General features: G+C 36.7%; 1 protein-coding gene across 46 annotated transcripts in view, besides 1 other annotated feature; it reads left to right on the top strand.

The window, feature by feature from the left end:
* DLG2 (discs large MAGUK scaffold protein 2) overlaps positions 1-21,003 on the top strand; it is a 2,173,362-nt gene that overhangs the window by 1,323,273 nt on the left and 829,086 nt on the right. The window lies entirely within an intron of this gene.
* Positions 15,312-15,371: an enhancer, noted in NCBI's record as "active region_5356". NCBI's record gives its function as "activates an Ori minimal core promoter by ATAC-STARR-seq in GM12878 lymphoblastoid cells {active_cell/tissue: GM12878}" and the evidence as "EXISTENCE:reporter gene assay evidence [ECO:0000049][PMID:35858748]".

Below are 21,003 nucleotides of genomic sequence, written 5' to 3'. Positions count from 1 at the left end.
TAACCTGCACTATGTTTTCAACACACTATTTTAATATAAACTACTTTTTTTTTATTTCTTCTTTTACTTTGGTAAAGGCACTACATTTTAAAAAATATGTGTAGTCAGTTGTATCATCTATGAATTTTATTTCAGATGAAAAAAGGAGGACATTACAAAACATTATCAAATGGAAAGGTTGAATCTGATAGAATGGAACCATTTGTTGAGATATTCAATATTGTTTTGTATACCATTATATCTGTGTGTTTAGCTTGCCTTCCAACTAGTCCAGGAGTCACCAAACTACAGCCACAGGCCAAATCCAGCCTGATACTTCGTTTTGTGTAGCTCCAGAGCTAAGAATTATTTTTAATATTGAAGAAAATCAAAAGAATAATATTTCAGACATGAAAATCATGAGTAATTCCAATTATGCTATCTATAAATAAATTTTATTAGAACACAGCCATGCTTATTTGTTTACATATTGTCTGTAGCTGTTTTTGTGCTGCAATGGCAGAGTTGAATAGTTGTGATAGAAACTGTAAGGCTAGAAAGTCAGAAAAATATTTATTATCCAACCCGTTAAAGAAACAAGTTTGCTGACCTCTGTGCTAGGTTATCGGCTTTCCATTTCCCACCTGATGGAATGTCCCTTTCTGCCCAACAAAGCCTATCCATTTTTTAAAAAGTCTGGATTAAGCACATCTTCCTCTTTAATCCTTTCATTTGAGCTCTCAAAGTTGCTATTTAACATGCGATCCTGCAAAATTAGAGTATTGCCTTACATCGCGGTTAGTTTCCTTCTCAGTCTCCCTGATTAGAGAGTGTGAGATTCCTCGTATTCCCAGAATGTAGCCTAACTCACAGTAGCATAGCTGTTCAATCTTGTGGCCTCTTTGTGACAATTCATGTAGCATCATTATTAAATTATGATTTGGGGCCAAGACTTATCTGCATTTATGACTGTAGAGAAGAGGAACTATGTGTTCAATACCTGTATGTCTTGCAGGATAACCTGCACAATTTATCACTTTTTACCATAGTATGGATAAGTATTGATACTTTTCAATATGTTTCTGCGCCATTAACCTGAATTTCCTTAGAGCATGACCTGTCTTATTTACCTGTTTCCCTAGTGCTTAGCACGTAACAGTAAGTTAATAAAGTGTTCTTGATTTCTGAATGTATATTAATACAGGGCCTTGTATATAAAGGCACTCAATCAGTTTGAATTTATTATTATTACTGATTATGCAGGTGTCTTAAGATCAAGAATGACACCTTCTATTCCCACAGTAGCTCAACTTAATAACAAGCATATTATTTTAAGTTTACACAGATTTACTGTTTTGTTTCCTTTGTTTATTTGTTTTGTTTTTAGTTTAACTCAGATTCTTATTCAATTCTGTGGTGCTATTGAAATATTGGAATCATTGGTTAGAAATTAGATTCCATATTCAAGTGGGTCATACTATTTCAGTGATGAAAGGTAGAGTACTATAGTTTGAGAGGAAATCGGACAAAAATTTTGATCTTACACAGTATCATAGTTTAACTTAGGAGTCAGTTGTTCTCTGTAAGGTTGAAATAATGTCACGAAATACATTTTATAATTAGTTTCTGTATACTCTGTTGTAGACTACATGACCTTTTTCTTCATCATTTTCATCATTAAATATAAGTGCTTGGAGTACAGTAGTTACCACCATTGCATAAAAAATCTATGATTGAACACATTTGCATTTTATTCTGACAGGCTGCACTATTCAGTTAGCAGTCAACATTGACTGTTACAGTTATGGTTATTATAGTTAGTTATCCATGACATTCATTGTCCAAAGCTCAGTTTATATACTAGCTCTAAAGTTGATTATGTTTACACACTGATTTTTCATTTCTCTAATCTATTTTACTCAATCTCTATAATACCTGTTATCATACTTAATTACAATTTTTAAAAATATGTTTCCAACTTCAAGTTTTGTTTTATTTTATTTTATTTTTTGAGACAGAGTCTCACTCTGTCACCCAGGCTGAAGTGCAGTGGTGCAATCTCAGCTCTGCCCTCCCAGGTTCAAGCATTTCTCCTGCCTCAGCCTTGTGAGTACCTGGAACTACAGGCACACGCCACCATGGCAGGCTAGTGTGTGTGTGTGTGTCTGTCTGTGTGTGTATTTTTTTTTGTTTTTGGTGTAGAGACACGTTTTGACCACGTTGGCCAAGCTGGTTTAGAACTCCTGACCTCAAGTGATCCACCTTCCTCGGTCTCCCAAAGTGCTGAGATTTCAAGCATGAGCCACCATGCCTGGCCCACGTTTTATTTTTTAATAAAATAAAAACTAGTAGTTAATCATAAATCCTTTTAGTTTAAAACTGAATATTTTAGCTACTTAAAAAACAATTTGTATTATTTAGTTTAAATATAATACAAGCTTATGGTAAAAAATAGTATGAATTAATTATTTTTAAAAAATTAAAAGTCACCTGTAATTCCACCTAGAGTTAACTACAGTTAATGTAGTAACAACTTTTTAGTCCTTTTATCTGTCTCTGTATATGTATCTTCAGTGAAAGATACAAATTTTATTGACACGTGCTCACAGATCTAGCTAAACTTGAGTCTCATTTATATATGTCTGTTAAGTGAGAAGTTAAGAATATAACTTCTTTTTAAAAATTAGCATCATGTTGCAATGTTTTTTAAAAATTAACATCATATTGTGAACATTTTTCTAAGTTAGAAAAATATTTTTCTTGTTGACATCATTTTTTAAAATTATACTTCTGGGATACATGTGCAGAACATGCAGGTTTGTTACATAGGTATACGCGTGCCATGGTGGTTTGCTGCACCCATCAACCCATCATCTACATTAGGTATTTCTCTTAATGCTATCCCTCCCCTAGCCCCTCAACCCCAGCAGGCCTCAGTGTGCGATGTTCCCCTCCCTGTGTCCATGTGTTCTCATTGTTCAGCTCCCACTTATGAGTGAGAACATGTGGCGTTTGGTTTTCTGTTCCTGTGTTAGTTTGCTGAGAGTGATGGTTTCCAGCTTCATCCATGTCCCTGCAAAGGATGTGAACTCATCCTTTTTTATGGCTGCATAGTATTCCCTGGTGTATGCGTGTCACATTTTCTTTATCCAGTCTATTATTGACGGGCATTTGGGTTGGTTCCAAGTCTTTGCTACTGTGAATAGTGTTGCAATAAACATATGTGTACATGTATCTTTATAGTAGAATGATCTATAATCCTTTGGGTATATACCCAGTAATGGGATTGCTGGGTCAAATGGTATTTCTGGTTCTAGATCCTTGAGGAATTGCCATGCTGTCTTCCAAAATGGTTGTACTAATTTTCATTCCCACCAACAGTGTAAAACAGTGTAAAAGTGTTCCTATTTCTCCACATCCTCTCCAGCATCTGTCGTTTCTTGACTTTTTTTTTTTTTTTTTTTTTTTTTGAGTCTCGCCTGTCACCCAGGCTGGAGTGCAGTGGCATGATCTCGGCTTACTGCAAGCTCCACCTCCCGGGTTCACACCCTTCTCCTGCCTCAGCCTCCCGAGTAGCTGGGACTATAGGCGCCGCCACCAGGCCTGGCTAATTTTTTTTTGTATTTTTAGTAGAGATGGGGCTTCACCATGTTAGCCAGGATGGTCTCGATCTCCTGACTTCGTGATCCACCCACCTCGGCCTCCCAAAGTGCTGGGATTACAGGCGTGAGCCACCGCACTGGCCTGTTTCCTGACTTTAATGATCGCCATTCTATCTGGCATGAGATGGTATCTCATTGTGGTTTTGATTTGCACTTCTCTAATGACCAGTGATGATGAGCTTTTTTCATGTTTGTTGGCTGCTTGTTGACATCTTTTTTAATGACTGCCAAATATTCTTTTTCTACCAAAACCCATAATGTTGGGCATGTAGGTTACCTTTCTTTAAGTTAATATAAACAATAGTGAAGTAAACCTTGGTGTACTAGAACTTTTGACTACACTTCTCGTGAGGATATATTTTTAGAAAAAGACCAATTGTTGAGTCAAAGGGTGTGAATTTTTTAAGGTTCATAATATTTACATAGTCATTCAGTCAATACTCATTCAGCAATTCATTATTAAACAGTTAACACAAGACAAAACACTAGGTTAATAAATGGGGATATACTGGAAAATAAGAGAGACTGATTATTGGCCCATGGAGCTTAGAGTTAATTGCCAAATTGCTTCTAAAACTATTTGCTTTACCAATTTATGATTCCCCCATTTGAAGAGTGTATGAACATGTCTTTCTGCCTGTACTCTTGATGTTTTTATCTTTGTAAAATCCTTTATTAATTTGATAGGTTAAAAATTGAAGAACATTGCTATAGTAATTTGCTTTTATTTGGTAATTAAAATGAGTACCTTTCCTATGACTGTATTCTATTACGAAGCTCTTATGATGTCTTCTATAATACCTGCCACAATAGATTACTATGCCCAGTTGGCAATTTAAAACATGCTTAATTTTTTGACTGGAAGGAAGGAATGAAGGAAGGAAGGAAGGAAAGTAGGAAGGAATTAAGGAAATAAATACAAATAGGAAAGTAGTTCCCATTTAAAATTCCTAGTAAGATAAATTTCCACCTATCCTAAATATAGCAGGGTCTTCTTAACCATCGTCATGAGTGATCTATGCACCTGTCTTTCTTGTCACTGAAACCCCTTTCCTTGTGTCTGTTCTCTGGAAGGAAAAGAGCTGAATGTTCTTTTTTTTTCACCCTGATATAAGTGAGCAAGATTAAATTGAGTGACATATGAAAAAATAGTTCATGCAACAGACAGAAGTAGACAGGCTATCTGCCTCTATCTGTAGACAGTTTGCAGAAGAGTGCAATATGGACATTAAATTGACAGTAAGAGAGCTTGAAGAGGAAAAACAATGTGACTGATCAGATGGGAAAGGGAAATATCCTGGAAATTTCCTATTTTAGTATGTTTACATAGGGATAGGAATTTTATGAAATTTGAATATAGACATTTAAAGATAAGTTTGAGTCTACATGTCTTAAAATGTAGGCAGCCTCCACCCAAAATCAAAACCATTATATGGTTTTGATTGTATAACATTTTATCTGTTACAAACACGTTGTTCTTATACTGCTGATTCTAATATTTAGAATAAAACTTACAGATGCAACAACTCTCTTGACTCTTCTCATCAAAGCTGGGCACCTTCTGGTTGTTCCAAGGAAAAGTGAAAACAACATACCTGCAGCATGACAGCAGTCTGGTTTCTAGTAGAAGAAACATTATTTTCGAAGGACTGAATGGAATGATAACAGTTAAATAGGTTGAAGACTGTAAGTACGTTGAGGAAAGAGATTCTTTTGAGTTTACAAAACAACCCAACATAATTGGGAGTTCCCTATGGACTCGTTTTTCCAATAACTAAATCAAACGCAAGTATAACAATTGACTTTAAGATCCCTACCACTCTTTGCAGTTCACTCAGAGCCTTCAGTCTATTTTCATCATTCTTCTTCTTTCTTGCTCTTCATTGCACTCAAACCTGTTTTACAATTCACTTAGTGTGCCAAGTCAGAAATCAGGAAGTCATCACCAGATCCATTACATTTCTATTCCTAGGGCCCTCATGAATTAATCAATCACTAATTGATATAGAATTATATCCAGAGTGTTTCAAATATTTTCCCTTTTTACATTTCTGCTCTCCGTGCTTGAGTTTTGGTGTGTTATCATTCCCATAAACTGTTTGCAATAACCTGTAGCCTCCTAGATCTCTTCAATCCATTATGAATATTGCTGCCAAATTTATCTTAACACTCAGTTCTATTTGTATCACTTACTGATTTAAATGATTTAACAACTTCAAATCATTTAAAGAAGGCTTCACTTTAAGTGTAATCTGACTTACACTTACGTATCTTTGGAAATGTTAATGAGTGGTCTATGTTGGATTAAACATGTTTTAAGCAGTTCTCTATTTTTTATCCTAGGATTTTTCAAAGCTCTTGGGGGCTTATATCTCCAAGAGACTGGTAAAATATGTGGAACGTTTCTTAAATGTGTGTGATAATGAAATCCCTTTTTCGTGAACGTTTATTTATGAACATCTCATAGAAAACAGATTGCCAACCACTAGTTTACAAAATAAAACTGGATTCCCTAGCAAAGCATTCAAGGTTGTCTTCAATTTGGCCCCAATCTGTATTTCCCGCTCCATCTCCAACCACTACTGTTGTGTTCTGGTCACACCCAACTATTCACTGTTCTCTGATTCCCTGAAGCCACCATGCAGTCTCCAGCCAAATCTTTGCTCATGCTTTTCTCTCTCTCTCTCTGTAATGACTCTATTTCTGTGTTGGATAAAATCTTTCTCATCATTCAAGGATCATTTCTAATGTTATCTTATTTGAGGGCTTCATTTCTCTGTGCTCCCACAAAATGTGGAAAATATGCCCACTTTACACTTAGCATTGTAGTTACTTACAGGTCTGTTTCAACTATCGTATTAGAAGCTTTGTGAGAAAACAAAGTATACCTTATTTATTTCTGTAACTTTATTGCCAGGATAGGACCTGAAAATGTTTATGAGTGATTGAAAGGGTGGTATCTTTAAAAATTGGTAGAGGTGGAACAGTGTTATATTTGGCAAGGCGGGGTCGCAAGGGGCTTCTTTAGGTAACACTGTGATTGGGTCTCTGAACTTCACATTCTGTCCTTTTGAAAGCCCAGACAATCATTCTAAGTGTCCAGGGAGATTTGAGGCCAAGAAACTGACTCAGACTAGTTAAAATATACCTTATATCAAGGTATGCAAAAGTCATTGATTTGCATGAAACATATAATTTTCACATGAATGGAAACGCCCATGTTCATAAAATTCATTTGTTTATTCATTTGCAAACATATATTGATAATAGATAGTATAACCAAGAATCCCTGTTCTAGGAACTTGAAAACATAGCAATAAATACAACAGGCATTGTAGTAGAGAAATATGAAAGTTAACAAGTAGACAAATAAGATTACTTCAGACAGGGGTGTGCTATTACAAATTAAATTATGGTAATGTGATATGGAGGATAGGTTGGAGAGGTGCTTCTTTAGATAGACATTAAAGTAAGGAAAGTATTAATGAGGAGGCAATTGAGTTCCTACTTGAGAGATGAAAGGTGAAAAGGGGGCAACCTTATGACAATTCTTGGGTGGTGTTACAGATAAAAGACTAGCATACGCAAGGACCTCAGGGTTGGAAAAAGTTTGACAAGTTATTATAATAGAAGAAGGCTAGTGTGGACAAGAGAAAGTGTCAAGAAGAAGGCTGAGAATAGAGTTTGGAGGGTTAGGTAAGGCTGGGTCAGGTAGACTGGGGGCATGGAAGGAAGTCGGCATTTTACTCAAAGTTCAACAAAAAGCCATTGGACTCCTTTAAACAAAGACATGAGATGATGTATTGTATACAGTGAGAATGAGTTTGAGGGGAGGGGCAAGAATGGAAGGAGGGAGACTAGTTAGAATGATATTTTGCAGTACTTGTAACCGAGAGATAATGATGGCTGGACTCAGGTAGCAGCAATGGGGATGGGGATCTATTGTAGAGACTGAGGATATATTTTGTATGTAGAGCAAAAAGGATGGATTAAATAGTGTGGATTCCTGAGGCAGAATATGACAGTGAGAAGATAAGAAAAATAAAGGAAGCCAAAAATAACTTGCAGGTATTATATATCTCTTCCTGGAGTCAAAACATCTTCAGAAAATTTTAATTGCAGCAATGTTTGAACTCCAATGTTCACACTCCTTCTCATCTAGTAAGTTCCTAGATTTCTAGACAATACTTGCCTCTCTCACTCACTACCCTTGTTCTTTTCTTTTATTCTTAACCCTTAACCTCCTCCCAAACTTCTGATTGATTCAATTTTTCTTCAGACAGGCTAATATATTAATCAATCATGCTCGTCTAGGTGTTTTTTTTTTTTCAAATTCTTTGAGGTTACCTCACATGGGTGAGTATTGATCTTATGAAGTCAATTATAATTTACCACATTTTAAGTTGGAAATTGGGAGAGTATCTTAATAAAGCCCCCAGATACTGACCACAGGCTGTAGATCATCCCCACCCAATATCTGCTATTGACCCTTTCCCCCCTCTTTAGGTCTTGACCCTTTCTCTAATACTTTCATGAAAGATATTTGGAATATCTTATTTAAATACAGTGGATGATGTATATCCCAGATTCCTTTGGAAAGTTGCTAAAAAGAATTTGGGGGGAATGCTGAGAAGGAAATCATCAATTCACCCTACTGAAAAAATATTTTAGCTTTTTTGAGCATATTATTTCCTCTCTCTCTCTCTCAAGTTGAAATATGAAATCATAAGTACAGCTGGGCATGGTAATCCCAGTGACTCAGGAGGGTAAGGTGAGAGGCTTGCTTGAGGCCAGTAGTTGGAGACCAGCCTGAGCAACATAGTGGGACCCCATCTCTACAAAAAGTAAAATAACATAGCCAGGCATGGTGGTATACACCTGTAGTTCCAGCTACTCCAGAGGCTGAGGCAGGCACATCCCTTGAGCCCAGGAGTTTGAGGCTGCAGTGAGCCGTGATTGCACCACCACTGCACCCCAGCTTAGGTTACAGGCAAGACCCCAACTCAAAGAGAGAAAAAAATCATAAGTACATCTCTGGAACACATCCATTGGGTTCATTAACAACTCCTCCAAACGTGAAGGAGAAACAGGGTAAGAGATTGAGAACATTTACAGTGGAATCCTGTCTGTTTCTCACAATTAAGTTTCAAGTAACAAAATCATATCACAGGCCTGTGTCTGTTGTTCATTCTAAGTATTTTATTTCAAGAGTCGATATTGATTATTTTAATTAAATTCTAAGAGGAATTTTGAAAAAAAAAGCCAAACATTGCTCTAAAATTTTTTCCTCCTTTAAATTTCAGTTCGATTTTAAGATAGTAATAAACAAGTTGTGTTTTCGGGAATACGTTTCAGCCACTGGGAACAGATATTCCCTCTGCACCTTCCAGACCAATTGACTAAACTGATGTAGAAATTGATAAACCACATTTTGTCATTATCTGAAAATGTCCTGTCATCATGAGATGTCTTTATCCAGAGTGGCAGTAGCTTGGCATAATATCCATTATCACATCACTAAAATTACTGTATGATAGAATACCATTATAGTTGCCTTGACAGAGTGCATAGTCTTCTGAACAGATTCTTGTTTCAGTTCTGTAAGCTGTGTATTTCAAGGGTCGTGGTTTAATTCAAAGATCAGCAGAAATATTATAGTGGCAGATTATATCAAGTGATCTGACCCCCCCAATGTGAATTCATGTTTGAATTTCACAATTCAGAAGAAAATGAGTGAGTGTGTTGAAATGAAAGGCACAGAAGTAGAAACCAGGACTCTAGTATCTGTACTACTCTGGACCCTGAATCACCCTAGTGAACTCGCAGAATCTTAGTGTCTACATCTCAACTATAAAATGAGGAAGTTCAAGTAGATTTAAAAAATGATTCATGTTTCACTGTGTCAGCTCCGATTGATTCCTAGTGATTGTCTGGATTATGGTGCTCAGAAGAATGATGAGACTTCATCAAGGCACCCCCAGAAGAGAATACAGTGAAAATTAGTATAGCCATGCATAAGAAAGAAAAAAGTGGCAGCCTGGATGCATAGTTTCTTTTATAGCCCTGGCATTTGATAATGCCATGTGCTTTATGTGATGGCTTTATGTTACTATTATAATTATACTAACAACTACCAACTATTAAGCATTTCTCATATACTATTAATATTATTTTAACATAACCCCCAAAATAACATAGGGAGATAGGTCATCTTATCCTCATTTTATAGATGCACAAGTAGACTTTTAGAAGCAAAGTAACTTACCTTAATTTATACCATGACCAAGGAACTGATTTGTAATCAGAGCTCAGGTTCTGAGTCCAAAGAGTCACTGCTTTCATACTAATTTTATGCAAGCCTGCATTCGTTGATGAAAATGATCAGAGAACTATACTTATTTAGGTAATTATACAGCTCAGAAATTAATTATTGCTGATGGGTTTTCTGGAAATTTAATATGTTTAATGATGAAGTAAAAACAATATAGTTTTCAAAATAATTCACTTACACCTCTGAAAGTTCTATTTAACGTTTCTTTTACCTTTTGAGACTTCATCATATTTTATTGGGGTAAATGTGTCAAATTCTGAAATAAATAAAATATTTTTGACCTCCTTTGAAATTTGGAAGACAACTAGATATAATTTAGGCATACTCCACCCTTACCCCAAGCTCAGAGCCCAGTGTGGCTACCGCAGTTCTATCCAAAGGACAGATTGGTGACCTACCTAACACAGAAGATAACGTTCATTAAGTCCTTAATAAATTATTGCTGAATAAAAAATATGGCGTTATATTCCTAAATTTTGTCTCTTATAGAGAGCAAGAGATGTTCTTCATTTTCATTTATTTATTTTTTTTGAGACAGAGTCTCAGACTGTCACCCAGGCTGGAATGCAGTGCCGCGATCTCGGCTCACTGCAACCTTCACCTCCCAGGTTCAAGCGATTCTTCTGCCTCAGCCTCTGGGATAGCTGGGATTACAGGCATGCGCCAACACACCCTTCTTATTTTTGTATTTTTAGTAGAGATGGGGTTTCACCATGTTGGTCAGGCTGGTCTCAAACTCCTGACCTCAGATGATCCACCGCCTTGGCCTCCCAAAGTGCTGGGATTACAGGTGTGAGCCACTGCACCTGGCCAAGAGGTGTTCTTTAAAAAGCTAGCTCAATTTCCTAATTTTTACTTATGCATAATAACTTTAAGATATTACTTAATAACTTTAAGATAATAAACTCATACAACTCAATAAATTAAAAACAGAGTGGTTGTTTAGCAAGAAGGACCTAGGTTAGAATATGGAGAGTTAGGCCAACAGCTGCAATTTCCAGTCTTGCTCTGTATCTTCTAGAACTTACCTCCTATTGTGTTACAGTGTTACAAGGTGAATGGTGTACTGTATTATCTTTCATGAACCTTTATACCCTAGTCTGTTATATGGCTGCTATTACATGCAGACTCTTTTTCTGGTGGTGGCAATGCGTGGTCCAGGGAGGGAAGGAAAGATGGCGTTAGACAGGAGGTTCATGTCCTCCCCATTTTGTTTTTTTCTGTAGAATATCTAGTTATTGCATAATTGGGGAAATTTAGCTTGCCTTTTAGACAATGTTTTTTAAATTAGGTATGAGTATTTGTGATGAGTTCTAGATTGTCCATATAATCATCTCTTCACTTCAGCAACGGCTTAGTTTAAGAGAATCATTCTTATTGGAACTCTCATTATATGAAGTTTTTACCCATCTGAGCCTTTATGATATCTTTATTTTTATTTATTTATTTTTTGAGACGGAGTCTCACTGTTTTCACCAAGGCTGGAGTGCAATGGCCTGTGATCTTGGCTCACTGCAACCTCCGCATCCCAGGTTCCAGCAATTCTCCTACCTCAGCCTCCCAAGTAGCTGATATTACAGGTGCCTGCCACTATGCACGGCTAATTTTTGTATTTTTAGTAGAGATGGGGTTTCACCATGTTGGCTAGGCTGGTCTTGAACTCCTGAGCTCAGGTGATCCATCCACCTTGGCCTCCCAAAGTGCTGGGATTACAGGCGTGAGCCACCGTGCCCAGCCTATGATATCTTTAAATTGTGATTGAAAAGTAGGGTGTGATGACCTTTTGTCTTATATTTCATGGAATCTAAAAAAAAAAGTTGAGATAAAAAATGAATCAATGACTAAATCTACTTGCAGAGATCTTGCCTGGACTATTAGAACTGCCTTTTAACTGGCTTTTTGCCTCCAGTGCACCACAAAATCTATCCACCTAAAGCTGCCAGAATACTTCCAACACACACCACCCGCCCCACACCCCCACACCCGACACACACACACACTGCCTTGTCATTCTGCTTAAGATCCTTCATTGGCTCCACACTGCTTTCAGATACAGACCAAATTCCTTAGTGTGACAGAGAAACCCCTATAACTTACTCACTGACCAACTTTAAACCTTAAATCAAGCTTGTCCAACCTACAGCCTGTCTGCCCAATACATATTTGTAAACTTTCTTAAAATATTATGAGATTTTTTGCAATTTTTTTTTGTTTTTTAGCTCATTAGCTATTGTTAGTTTTATTGTATTTTATGTGTGGCCCAAGATAATTCTTCTTCTTCCAATGTGGCCCAGGGAAGCCAAGGATTGGACCCCCCTGCCTTTACATCTAATTTATCTCCCTTCCCACTTCTGAAGTACTTTATTCTTCTGAAAAAATAAGAAGTACCACCTTTTGGATATAGTATGTAATTTCTCGCATCTAAACTTTCATTCTCTATCAAGTTTGACAAGGCTTAATAGAGTCTTTTTTATGTTAAGGTCAAACCCAGATAAGATATAGGTGCCAGATTCTGATAGCTTATAAAAATCAGAACTACTACTGATAAAAAGCTAGCTTGGAAGAATTGGCTATGGTAGGCAGCCAAAGGGCTTGCTAACATACCCCTGAACTCAATTTACCCTTCAAATTATCAATTTCTCTTGCAGAAGCATAGCTTCTCCTAGCTAACCTCATCTTACAGTGAAAAGGGAATGCTAGGCTCTAGCAGGCAGGCTGACTCCCAGGAGGCAGGGGTGAGCTGAGCTTTCCTAGTCCCATTTTTCAAACTTACCTAGCATAAAACTCCCATCTTCTGGGGATGGGGAAAGAGGTCCAGAGAATTAGCCTGGAGAAGTCTCTCCACTGGTAACTATAGGCATGAGGTGAGAATAACTTACCACATATGTCGTTACTCTGAGCCTGGAAAATCATTTCCTCTCTTGTCTTTCTGCCAAATTCCTGCCGCCTCTGCAAATCCAGCTTCAGTGACATTTCTTTTTGTCTGTAGCTTTCCTTGGTCTACTTTTTCCCAACCTCGCCTAGACTTCCAACCAATATGGCCATGTTATTTTTCATCACACTCTATAGTCATTCCGTCATGATGTCAATTTAGTGAAATGATTAGCTACTGTAGTCTGTGAAATCCTTAAAGGCAGGGCAGTATTATGTGTCACCAATACCTAAGACAAAGTTTAGAACCTGTAAGCATTTGATAAATAGAGGGGGTGTTTTCCAAAATACTTAAAAGAAACTATTGAAGATAACCTACTTTGATGATTCCCTACTAAATGACAGGAGCTAGGCTGGAAATTTATTCGTATTAACTTATCTAACCTACACAACAACTGTGTGAGACTGAAGATATTAGTTCCATTTTACAGATGAAGAAATAGGTTTATAGAAAAACTTTGCCTAATTAGCTAATTATTTGTGCTACCAATATTTAATAACAAATTGACTTGTTTTTACATGAACCCTTGTGCCTCTCTGATCTTTGTGTCATCTGTCAGCTGGAATTACTTTTGTTTTTCTGCATATAAATCAAACGGAGATAAAGGTCATTGCATGAGGAGAAAAACTCATGCTCTAATGTGTTTTTGCTTTATTTAATAAGCTTATATAAAACAGTTAAGGGAGAATATAAATTTAGAGATTAGGACTTTAATACTGACTTTTTCATGTTTTCAATGAGGGGATATATACTCCATATTGTTTATAATACATAATGTAAATTATACTACTCATTAATGATAACTCAAAAGGTAGCGTACTGTCAGTTGAGATAGTTAGGATTTGCGCATTGCCCATTTAGTCTAACTTGGCAATATTCTTTTTTGTCTACCTAACCTTATTAATTCTGTTTTATTTTAACCATAACTTCTCACCTTGTACCTGATTGGATTTATTTCTTTTATATATCTAAGCTAACTTAGCTAGCCTTTAATTGTTTTTGGTCAATGGTCAGTCATATGTAATAAAAACTGCCTCATCTTTAGAATACACAGAGTAAATTATAAAAAGTTATGAGATTCCTAGATAATTTACTGAATTGGTTACTAACAAATTTAAAAAGTAGTAATTTTTAAACAATAGTAGCTAACATGTATTGAATGTATAATGTATGCCAAATAACACTTTTAATTGCTAGATGTGCATTTTTTTTCTAGACATCTTCACAAAAATATAGGGGTTAGTTACTTTTCTTCCCCATTTTTAGATGAGACAATAAAACTTCAGAGAGAGTTTAAGCAACTTACTCATAGCAACACTGAGTGATTTTAGCATTAGAATTCAAACCTTGGATGACTCACATTAAAACCTTGCTTTTTTAAACAATGTACTACCAAAAGAACAATTTCTACTTTCTGGGAGCTGATCACTGTCTTTGGAGACAGACAAAATTGAATTTAATTCTATCTCTACAAATAGCAAGCTTTAAGACCCTAGTTATGTTACTCAATATCTCTCCCACTTCCTTTTCTCACCTCTTAGATGGGTACAATGCCTATATCACAGGGTTACTTTATGAAAAGACCTAGTACATGAAGAATTTAGTGCTGTACCTGGTACTTGGTGGATATTCAATCAATGTTAAATCATTTTCCCTCACACACAAAAACTCATTTCTGTGTTTCCAAAAATGTTTTCACGTTTTGTATTTGAGTCTCAGAAGAACCCTGCGATAACAGGGATTATTATCCCTGTTTCTCATTAGAGCAAATAAAGGCTCAGAAAAACCAAGAGGCTTTCTTTTGGTCATACACACCTCATAAGCAACAGAGCAAAGACTTCACATTTCTCACTTGTTTTCATTATAGCATGTATGCCTCCTGGAAAAACATGTAAAGTGAAGGCAGAAAGCAGAGGATGTCAATGAAATCTAAAAGGCGCCTATGTGAAAAAATTATTTTACAAAAACTTTTGCTCAATCTTCTGTCCCTCCTGTCCCTGAGAGGCAATAATATAGAATGAAATAAGGTTATATTGCATTAGAAATATTTTTGCCTTTGCTCAGTGAAGACCATGATCTGAGTTGACATCTAATCATATTATTTCAGCGCTATAGATACTCAGCCTTTACCGAGGACTGCTTTATAATAGGCTAGAGGCTACATTGGGTAATACCAGAATGAGCAAACTTAGTTATTGGGAGTGATCTTGTTGGTCTTTGTTAATGAAATCTGCAAGCCCCTTATGTAATGCATTACTATATTCTGGATCTGGTTACTACTTTGAGGGGCCTGACCATCCAGAAAACGGTACTTTCAAACAAGTTTTCTTTCTCTGATCATCACACAGTATCCTAAAATACTTTGCACGCATAGGCTGGAAGTAGAGATAGTCAAAGCAATCTGCTCATCATCTTGCAGTTTGCATTTAGTCTTTCAGAACTATTTCTCCCACTTCTGCCTTGTTTACGAACAGAGTGAGACAGTCATGCCTGGGTGGATCATCTCCCATGTTTGCCTAGGAATCCTCTCTTTCTCTACTAGGCTTCAGGAGGTTAGACTGTAGCTTTAAAGGTTTTCCTGTGAGTCAGAATCTTGGGGTAAAGCCTCACTTATTTAGAAGAACTTGCTTCTAACTCTATCTCTAGACCTAAAAGAATTACCTTTACTCATACTGAGAGAGTGAGTCATGTCTCATTTCCCCCATGAGCTGAGATGCAGAGGCCATTTTTCTCTCTGTATTTCAAAAGGCTTAAATTCCAATTATTTTTTGATCCCTCACTGTCAGTGCTACAATGAAATTTTTCTGTATTAAAAAAATAGGTCAATGAAGGCCAAGGTTTGGCTGATTCTTGTAATTTTCCTAATTTCCTCATAAAAGCTTGGGCCAATATTTTTTAATTCCAAGTTTGTAGCTTTATCACAGAAGCATTGTTCGTTAATGACTGTGCTTTGTTTCCCATTTTTGAAAGAGAAATTCTTTTGTTACATTTGAAAGAACTTAAACATGAAAAACTTAAGGATTAACTTTTTAATTAGATATAATGATTAGAAACTCTTCATCATGGCAGTTTTCCTTTCATTATGAAAGGAAGTTGACAGTTTCTGTTCAATTAGTGTTCACTGAAATGTTTTTAAATGAAATTATTGCTGAGTAAAGGACTCCAAAAGAATATGACATGATTAAGGGCCTTGCTTTTCGACTTTTTAATGAAGAGATTACTGATGAAAAAAGAATTCTTGCGAAGTTCACAAAACATATTTCTGTGCATGAGCAATATTTAAGTCTCAGTTCATTATAAAAGTAAATATCACAAAAGCTTCTCCCCACTATAAATGTTTGTGATCCCTACATTAACTGACTTTTAATTATGTCAACATAGTTCAATGAAGCAAAGTTTGCAAGGCCTATTTTGGTGGAATCCATTGTCTGTGACTATGGTGCTTTGGAAGAGTTTACATATCACTGTCTTGACTTCATAGTATAATTTCAAATGTTTTATTTCGTTTCATTTAGGGGTTTTTCTGTTGATACATTAGCATTCTCTATGCAATTTCATTTGGGGGTGAATAGACCTAGATCTCATGAGCCCTGGAGATCAATGCTTTTAATGACTCTGAGATTTAGTTACACATCTTATTCTATCTTAGAAGTACTTGGTTCTTTCAAATAAATTCTAACTGAACTCCCTGAATCTAAATACTTATTTTAACAAATAACTGCAAAATATCTTTTCAGTCATAGGTATTCTATCTTCATAGCTTCTTATTGCCTAAAGTATCAAATAGAAATCTATTATCACCCTCATCTTGGAGGCCTTCTATACTTGTCCCTTCCTGATAGCATTAATAAAATAATAATACTGTTGACAATAGCTAACATTTATTTATTAATCTTTAGTACTTTCTTATACTCTAAGAAATATTTAAGTGTAAGTATTCATTTAATCCTGACAATAATCCTAGGAGATTAATATTATTATTAATTATTATTCACAATTTATGAGAGAGAAAACTAAAGCTTGGTGATATTAACTAAATTTTCCAAATGTACATTGTAAATAATTAATGGATTGTTAATTATTTAATATCATATGATATCAATTTAGTGAAGTGAATAGCTACCCAGACTCATCTACCTTCCCTCAGAAATATTTTTAATTAATTATTATTGTTCCACTGCCTACAAGCTTTACTAGAATCAAGGACTGCTCTCTCCCGTTTCCATACTATTTTTTTAATCCAAACTCCATTTCTTTGCTTTTTCATTTAATGCATGACCTTTCCATGCACTAGTAATCCAAGTTCACCTATTGGCTCTCACCTGATCACAGTTGTCTCATTACAGATGTTGGAAACCTCAAAGTCATTATTAATGACACCTTCTCCTTCTATATGAAATAGACGAATAAAGTATTTGTGTGTGTGTGTGTGTGTGTGTGTGTGTGTGTGTGTGTCTAAGAGAGAGAAAAATATGGAGGGAGAGAAGGAGAGAGGTAGAAGTAAGGAAGAGAGAAGAAAGGAGAGATGGAGGGAGGAAGAGGTAAAGAAGGAGAGAGAGATAGAAACAGAGACTTACGCAACACTGACTAAAACATGCAGCTGCTACCCAGTGAAGATACATTGATTAGAGCAGGGAGTAGGGAGAACAGATTCCCAGGGAGCTTTGCTCTGAAGTCATTTTAATATCCTAAAAGTGTTAAGACAAGTCTTACTTGAGTCTGTGAAAATTCTATGGTTTGAAAAGAAAAGAAGAGTATTCCTAAGAAGTCCAAAGCTTTAGCCCTGGCCCCCCAACACTATCTAATTGCATAATCACAGGCACAGTCCAACTAGTCTAGATCTCAGTTTCATATCTGTAAAATGGATATAACCATCCCGACCTCCTAGGATTGTTGTAAGAATCAAATGTGATACTTTTATGATGATGAAAATGTAATGGAGGTTAGGCCCTAAAGGTGCTTGTGAATTAGTGAGATGATAAAATCTGGGATATGGGCAGAGCTTACTAAAACACCAAATACTTTTATTTACACAGAAATAGAAATATGTACATGTAAAGAAGACAGATAATAGGTAACAATTATTATTTGGTACTTATTTTATGCTGGATGCATGAATCAACTCATTTAATCTCCCACAACAATTATATGACATAAACATCATTATCAAACCCACTTTACATATGAGGAAACTGAGGCCCAAAGTGTAGAGTAATCTGGTCAAGATCAGACATTTAAAAAGCGTTGAAGTTAGGATTCTAATCTGGAAAGTTGACCTCCAGATCATGTACGCTTAACTATCCTCTCTGCTTCTGCAGAGAGATGGGAAAGCTTAGGCGTCAACCCCAGCCTTTGGTAACAGTAAAGGGATTCTAACATTACAAAGCCCACCAGCACAGCTCCTTTCCATGGCTCAGGGGCATCTCTGAGTCAAATTTACCTCTCAACAGCATTCCCTGTCCTCACTCAGACACTTGTTGACCATTATGGCCCTTAGGCTATTGAAAAATAGTTTATTTGAGGGAAAAAATTGAGTGTGCCATATAGATCTTGCTATTCAAAACCTTGGAACATGGAAGTGCATTAGCATGCTAAAAGTACCATTTAAGAGAATTCTCATTTTCAAATGAGATTTTTCTGCTTGGCCATACTTAAGCAGCATGAAAGTAAAAGATAATTTTAGCCAGCCATCTTTAAAAGTTATTCCATGTTCTAGTTAACAATATTGCAATGGCTTCCTTAAGATTAGAGTATCTTAACTGTTTACTAGAGTAGACCACAAGACTAGCTAAGTGTATGATGAAAGCAAATTTACTCAGGAGAGCTATTGACTTTTTTTTACCCCCTTGCACTCCTATTACATGAGAAGCCCTAACCACCTCTCTTATATTTAATATGCTGTGAGTTTTTAAAAGCAGCAGAGTGGAGCATCACTGGAAGCCACTGTAAAGTCTGAGCTTTTCAGCCCTTGATATAGAGCTAGGTGTATATTTCTGTGCATGGACTACAAGGACAACACGTGATAAAGAACTTGGAAGAGAAAGGAGATGAAGTAATCTGAGAAGGTTAAAAACATGGTAATGGCAGTAAAAGGATACATGCTGGTAAGAGGAATTGAGAGTGATAAAACCTAGGTTAATGGATTCCTAGGTCTACCGTTTATTGATGATGTGATTCAGGGGCCTCTCATTGAACCACTCAGTGTGTCTTCTACCTCAATTTAGAAATAGGGTTGCTAATTCTGGCTGTGCATATTCCATAGAGTTTGTATGAGAATGAAATTCATTCATTTATCCAACAAATATTTATTGAGTACCTACTCATGCTGGACACTATCTATATATAGATGATACATTGTAAGCAAAAGAACTAGTTTTTATCCATAATGAAGTAATTCAGGTATGTAATGTAAACATCACACAATAGTCACAAAAGAGGTTTACAAACTAGTTTCCATGAAAAGCTATAACAGGATGTCGTGAGTAAGGTATAGGGCAGTGGTGCTCAGCTGGGCCTACTTTTGTTTCCCTAGGGGGCATTAGGTCATGTCTGGAGACCTATTTAATTTTCACATCTGGAAGAAGGAAGGATTACTGGCATCTAGCAAATAGAGGACAGGGATCTGGTAAGCCTCCTACGATGCACAGTGAAGCTAAGATTTAAATGATAAGTGGGAGAGCATTCTGGAGAACAGGTGGGAGAAGATTTGAGGCAGAAGAACTGGCATTTGCATAGGAACCAAAATGAGAATGGGATGTATTATATCCTAAATAATGGAAGAGGGCCTGTGGGGCTAGGTCACAGAGAAGGGGGAGATGGGCCAAGCTGACCCTGGTGACAGACAGGTCCAAATTATTCCATCAGAGGGTCTTGATGAAGTGGTTGTGAAGGCTCCTGAGATTTAACTTGAGAAATGGAGTGGGCGGAGCTGGGATTTACTGGATGAGGAAGTTGAAAGAGAAGCAGATTTGAGGAGGGAAGAAGGAGGATGAAAGCTCAGCTTTTGGAGCTGTTATATCTGAGAGGTCTGTGAGATATCTGAGCAGAGATGACCAGCAAGCAACAGGATATTCAATTTAGGAGAGAAATCTGAGCCAAAAAAATAAACAAGGGAGCCACTTACATAATAATGTTTAAATGTGTAAATAGGGAGAATGTGAAAAGTAACAGAGAAGTCCTAGTTATAAAAGTGTTTTGTCAATCGAAACATGCTCTGCAAATATAAAGAATTCCTAACATCAACATCAAGTAAAACATTTTCTACGTCCACCTATTTATTTAAGAAACCTTTGGTGTCCTTTGTTATATGCCAGGCAATGCACTAAAGGCTGAGAACAAGCTGATAAATATGATTAACACCTGGCCTTGAAAAGTGTCAAGAAAGCAAGTAGGGGGAGAGGCATATTAAATTCTTAATACTGCCCTACAGTTGAGTTCAGGTAGCTTTCCTTCTGTCAAGAAAGTCCAGTAGAGAATGGCTGAGGGCTCTAGATGGGGAAGAAGATGGTGAAGACACACTTCATCTGCCTCACGGTTCTATCTAGGTTAGTCCTGGCTTGACTCTGGTCTGAAGTTTAACATGCTGTGATCTAGCATTCTGCAGAACTATGTGCAAACAAGACCTGGGGTCCCACCTACTTCAGTCAACTTCTCTCAGGTCTCTTGTTTTCTTTCCCTTATAGTACTGGGCATATGATTCCAGAGACTCTGCAGTGTGTGTAGGATATCACTGTAATACGATGACTCGCGTCTCTTAAGCAGGTTTGAGACATGACTGAATGATTGAATATGTAGCACAATTTTATATTATATGGACTTCAATACACCACAGGTCATATAATTCCCCTTATAAAATATGGCATTTGCCATTTTGCCATGGCACAGTCATGTGAGTCTTGCCCATCAAGGTATCACTCTCTCAAATAGGAAAAAATGGGTCAGATGCCAGGTTTGATTTTTTTTGAGACAGAGTTTCACTCTTGTTGCCCAGGCTGGATTGCAATGGTGCGATCTCGGCTCACCGCAACCTCTGCCTCCTGGGTTCCAGTGATTCTCCTGCCTCAACCTCCAGAGTAGCTGGGATTACAAGCATGCACCAC

Source organism: Homo sapiens, chromosome 11 (genome assembly GCF_000001405.40).
Source record: "Homo sapiens chromosome 11, GRCh38.p14 Primary Assembly".
Lineage (NCBI taxonomy): Eukaryota > Metazoa > Chordata > Mammalia > Primates > Hominidae > Homo > Homo sapiens.
This window is presented reverse-complemented; position numbering and strand designations above follow the sequence as displayed.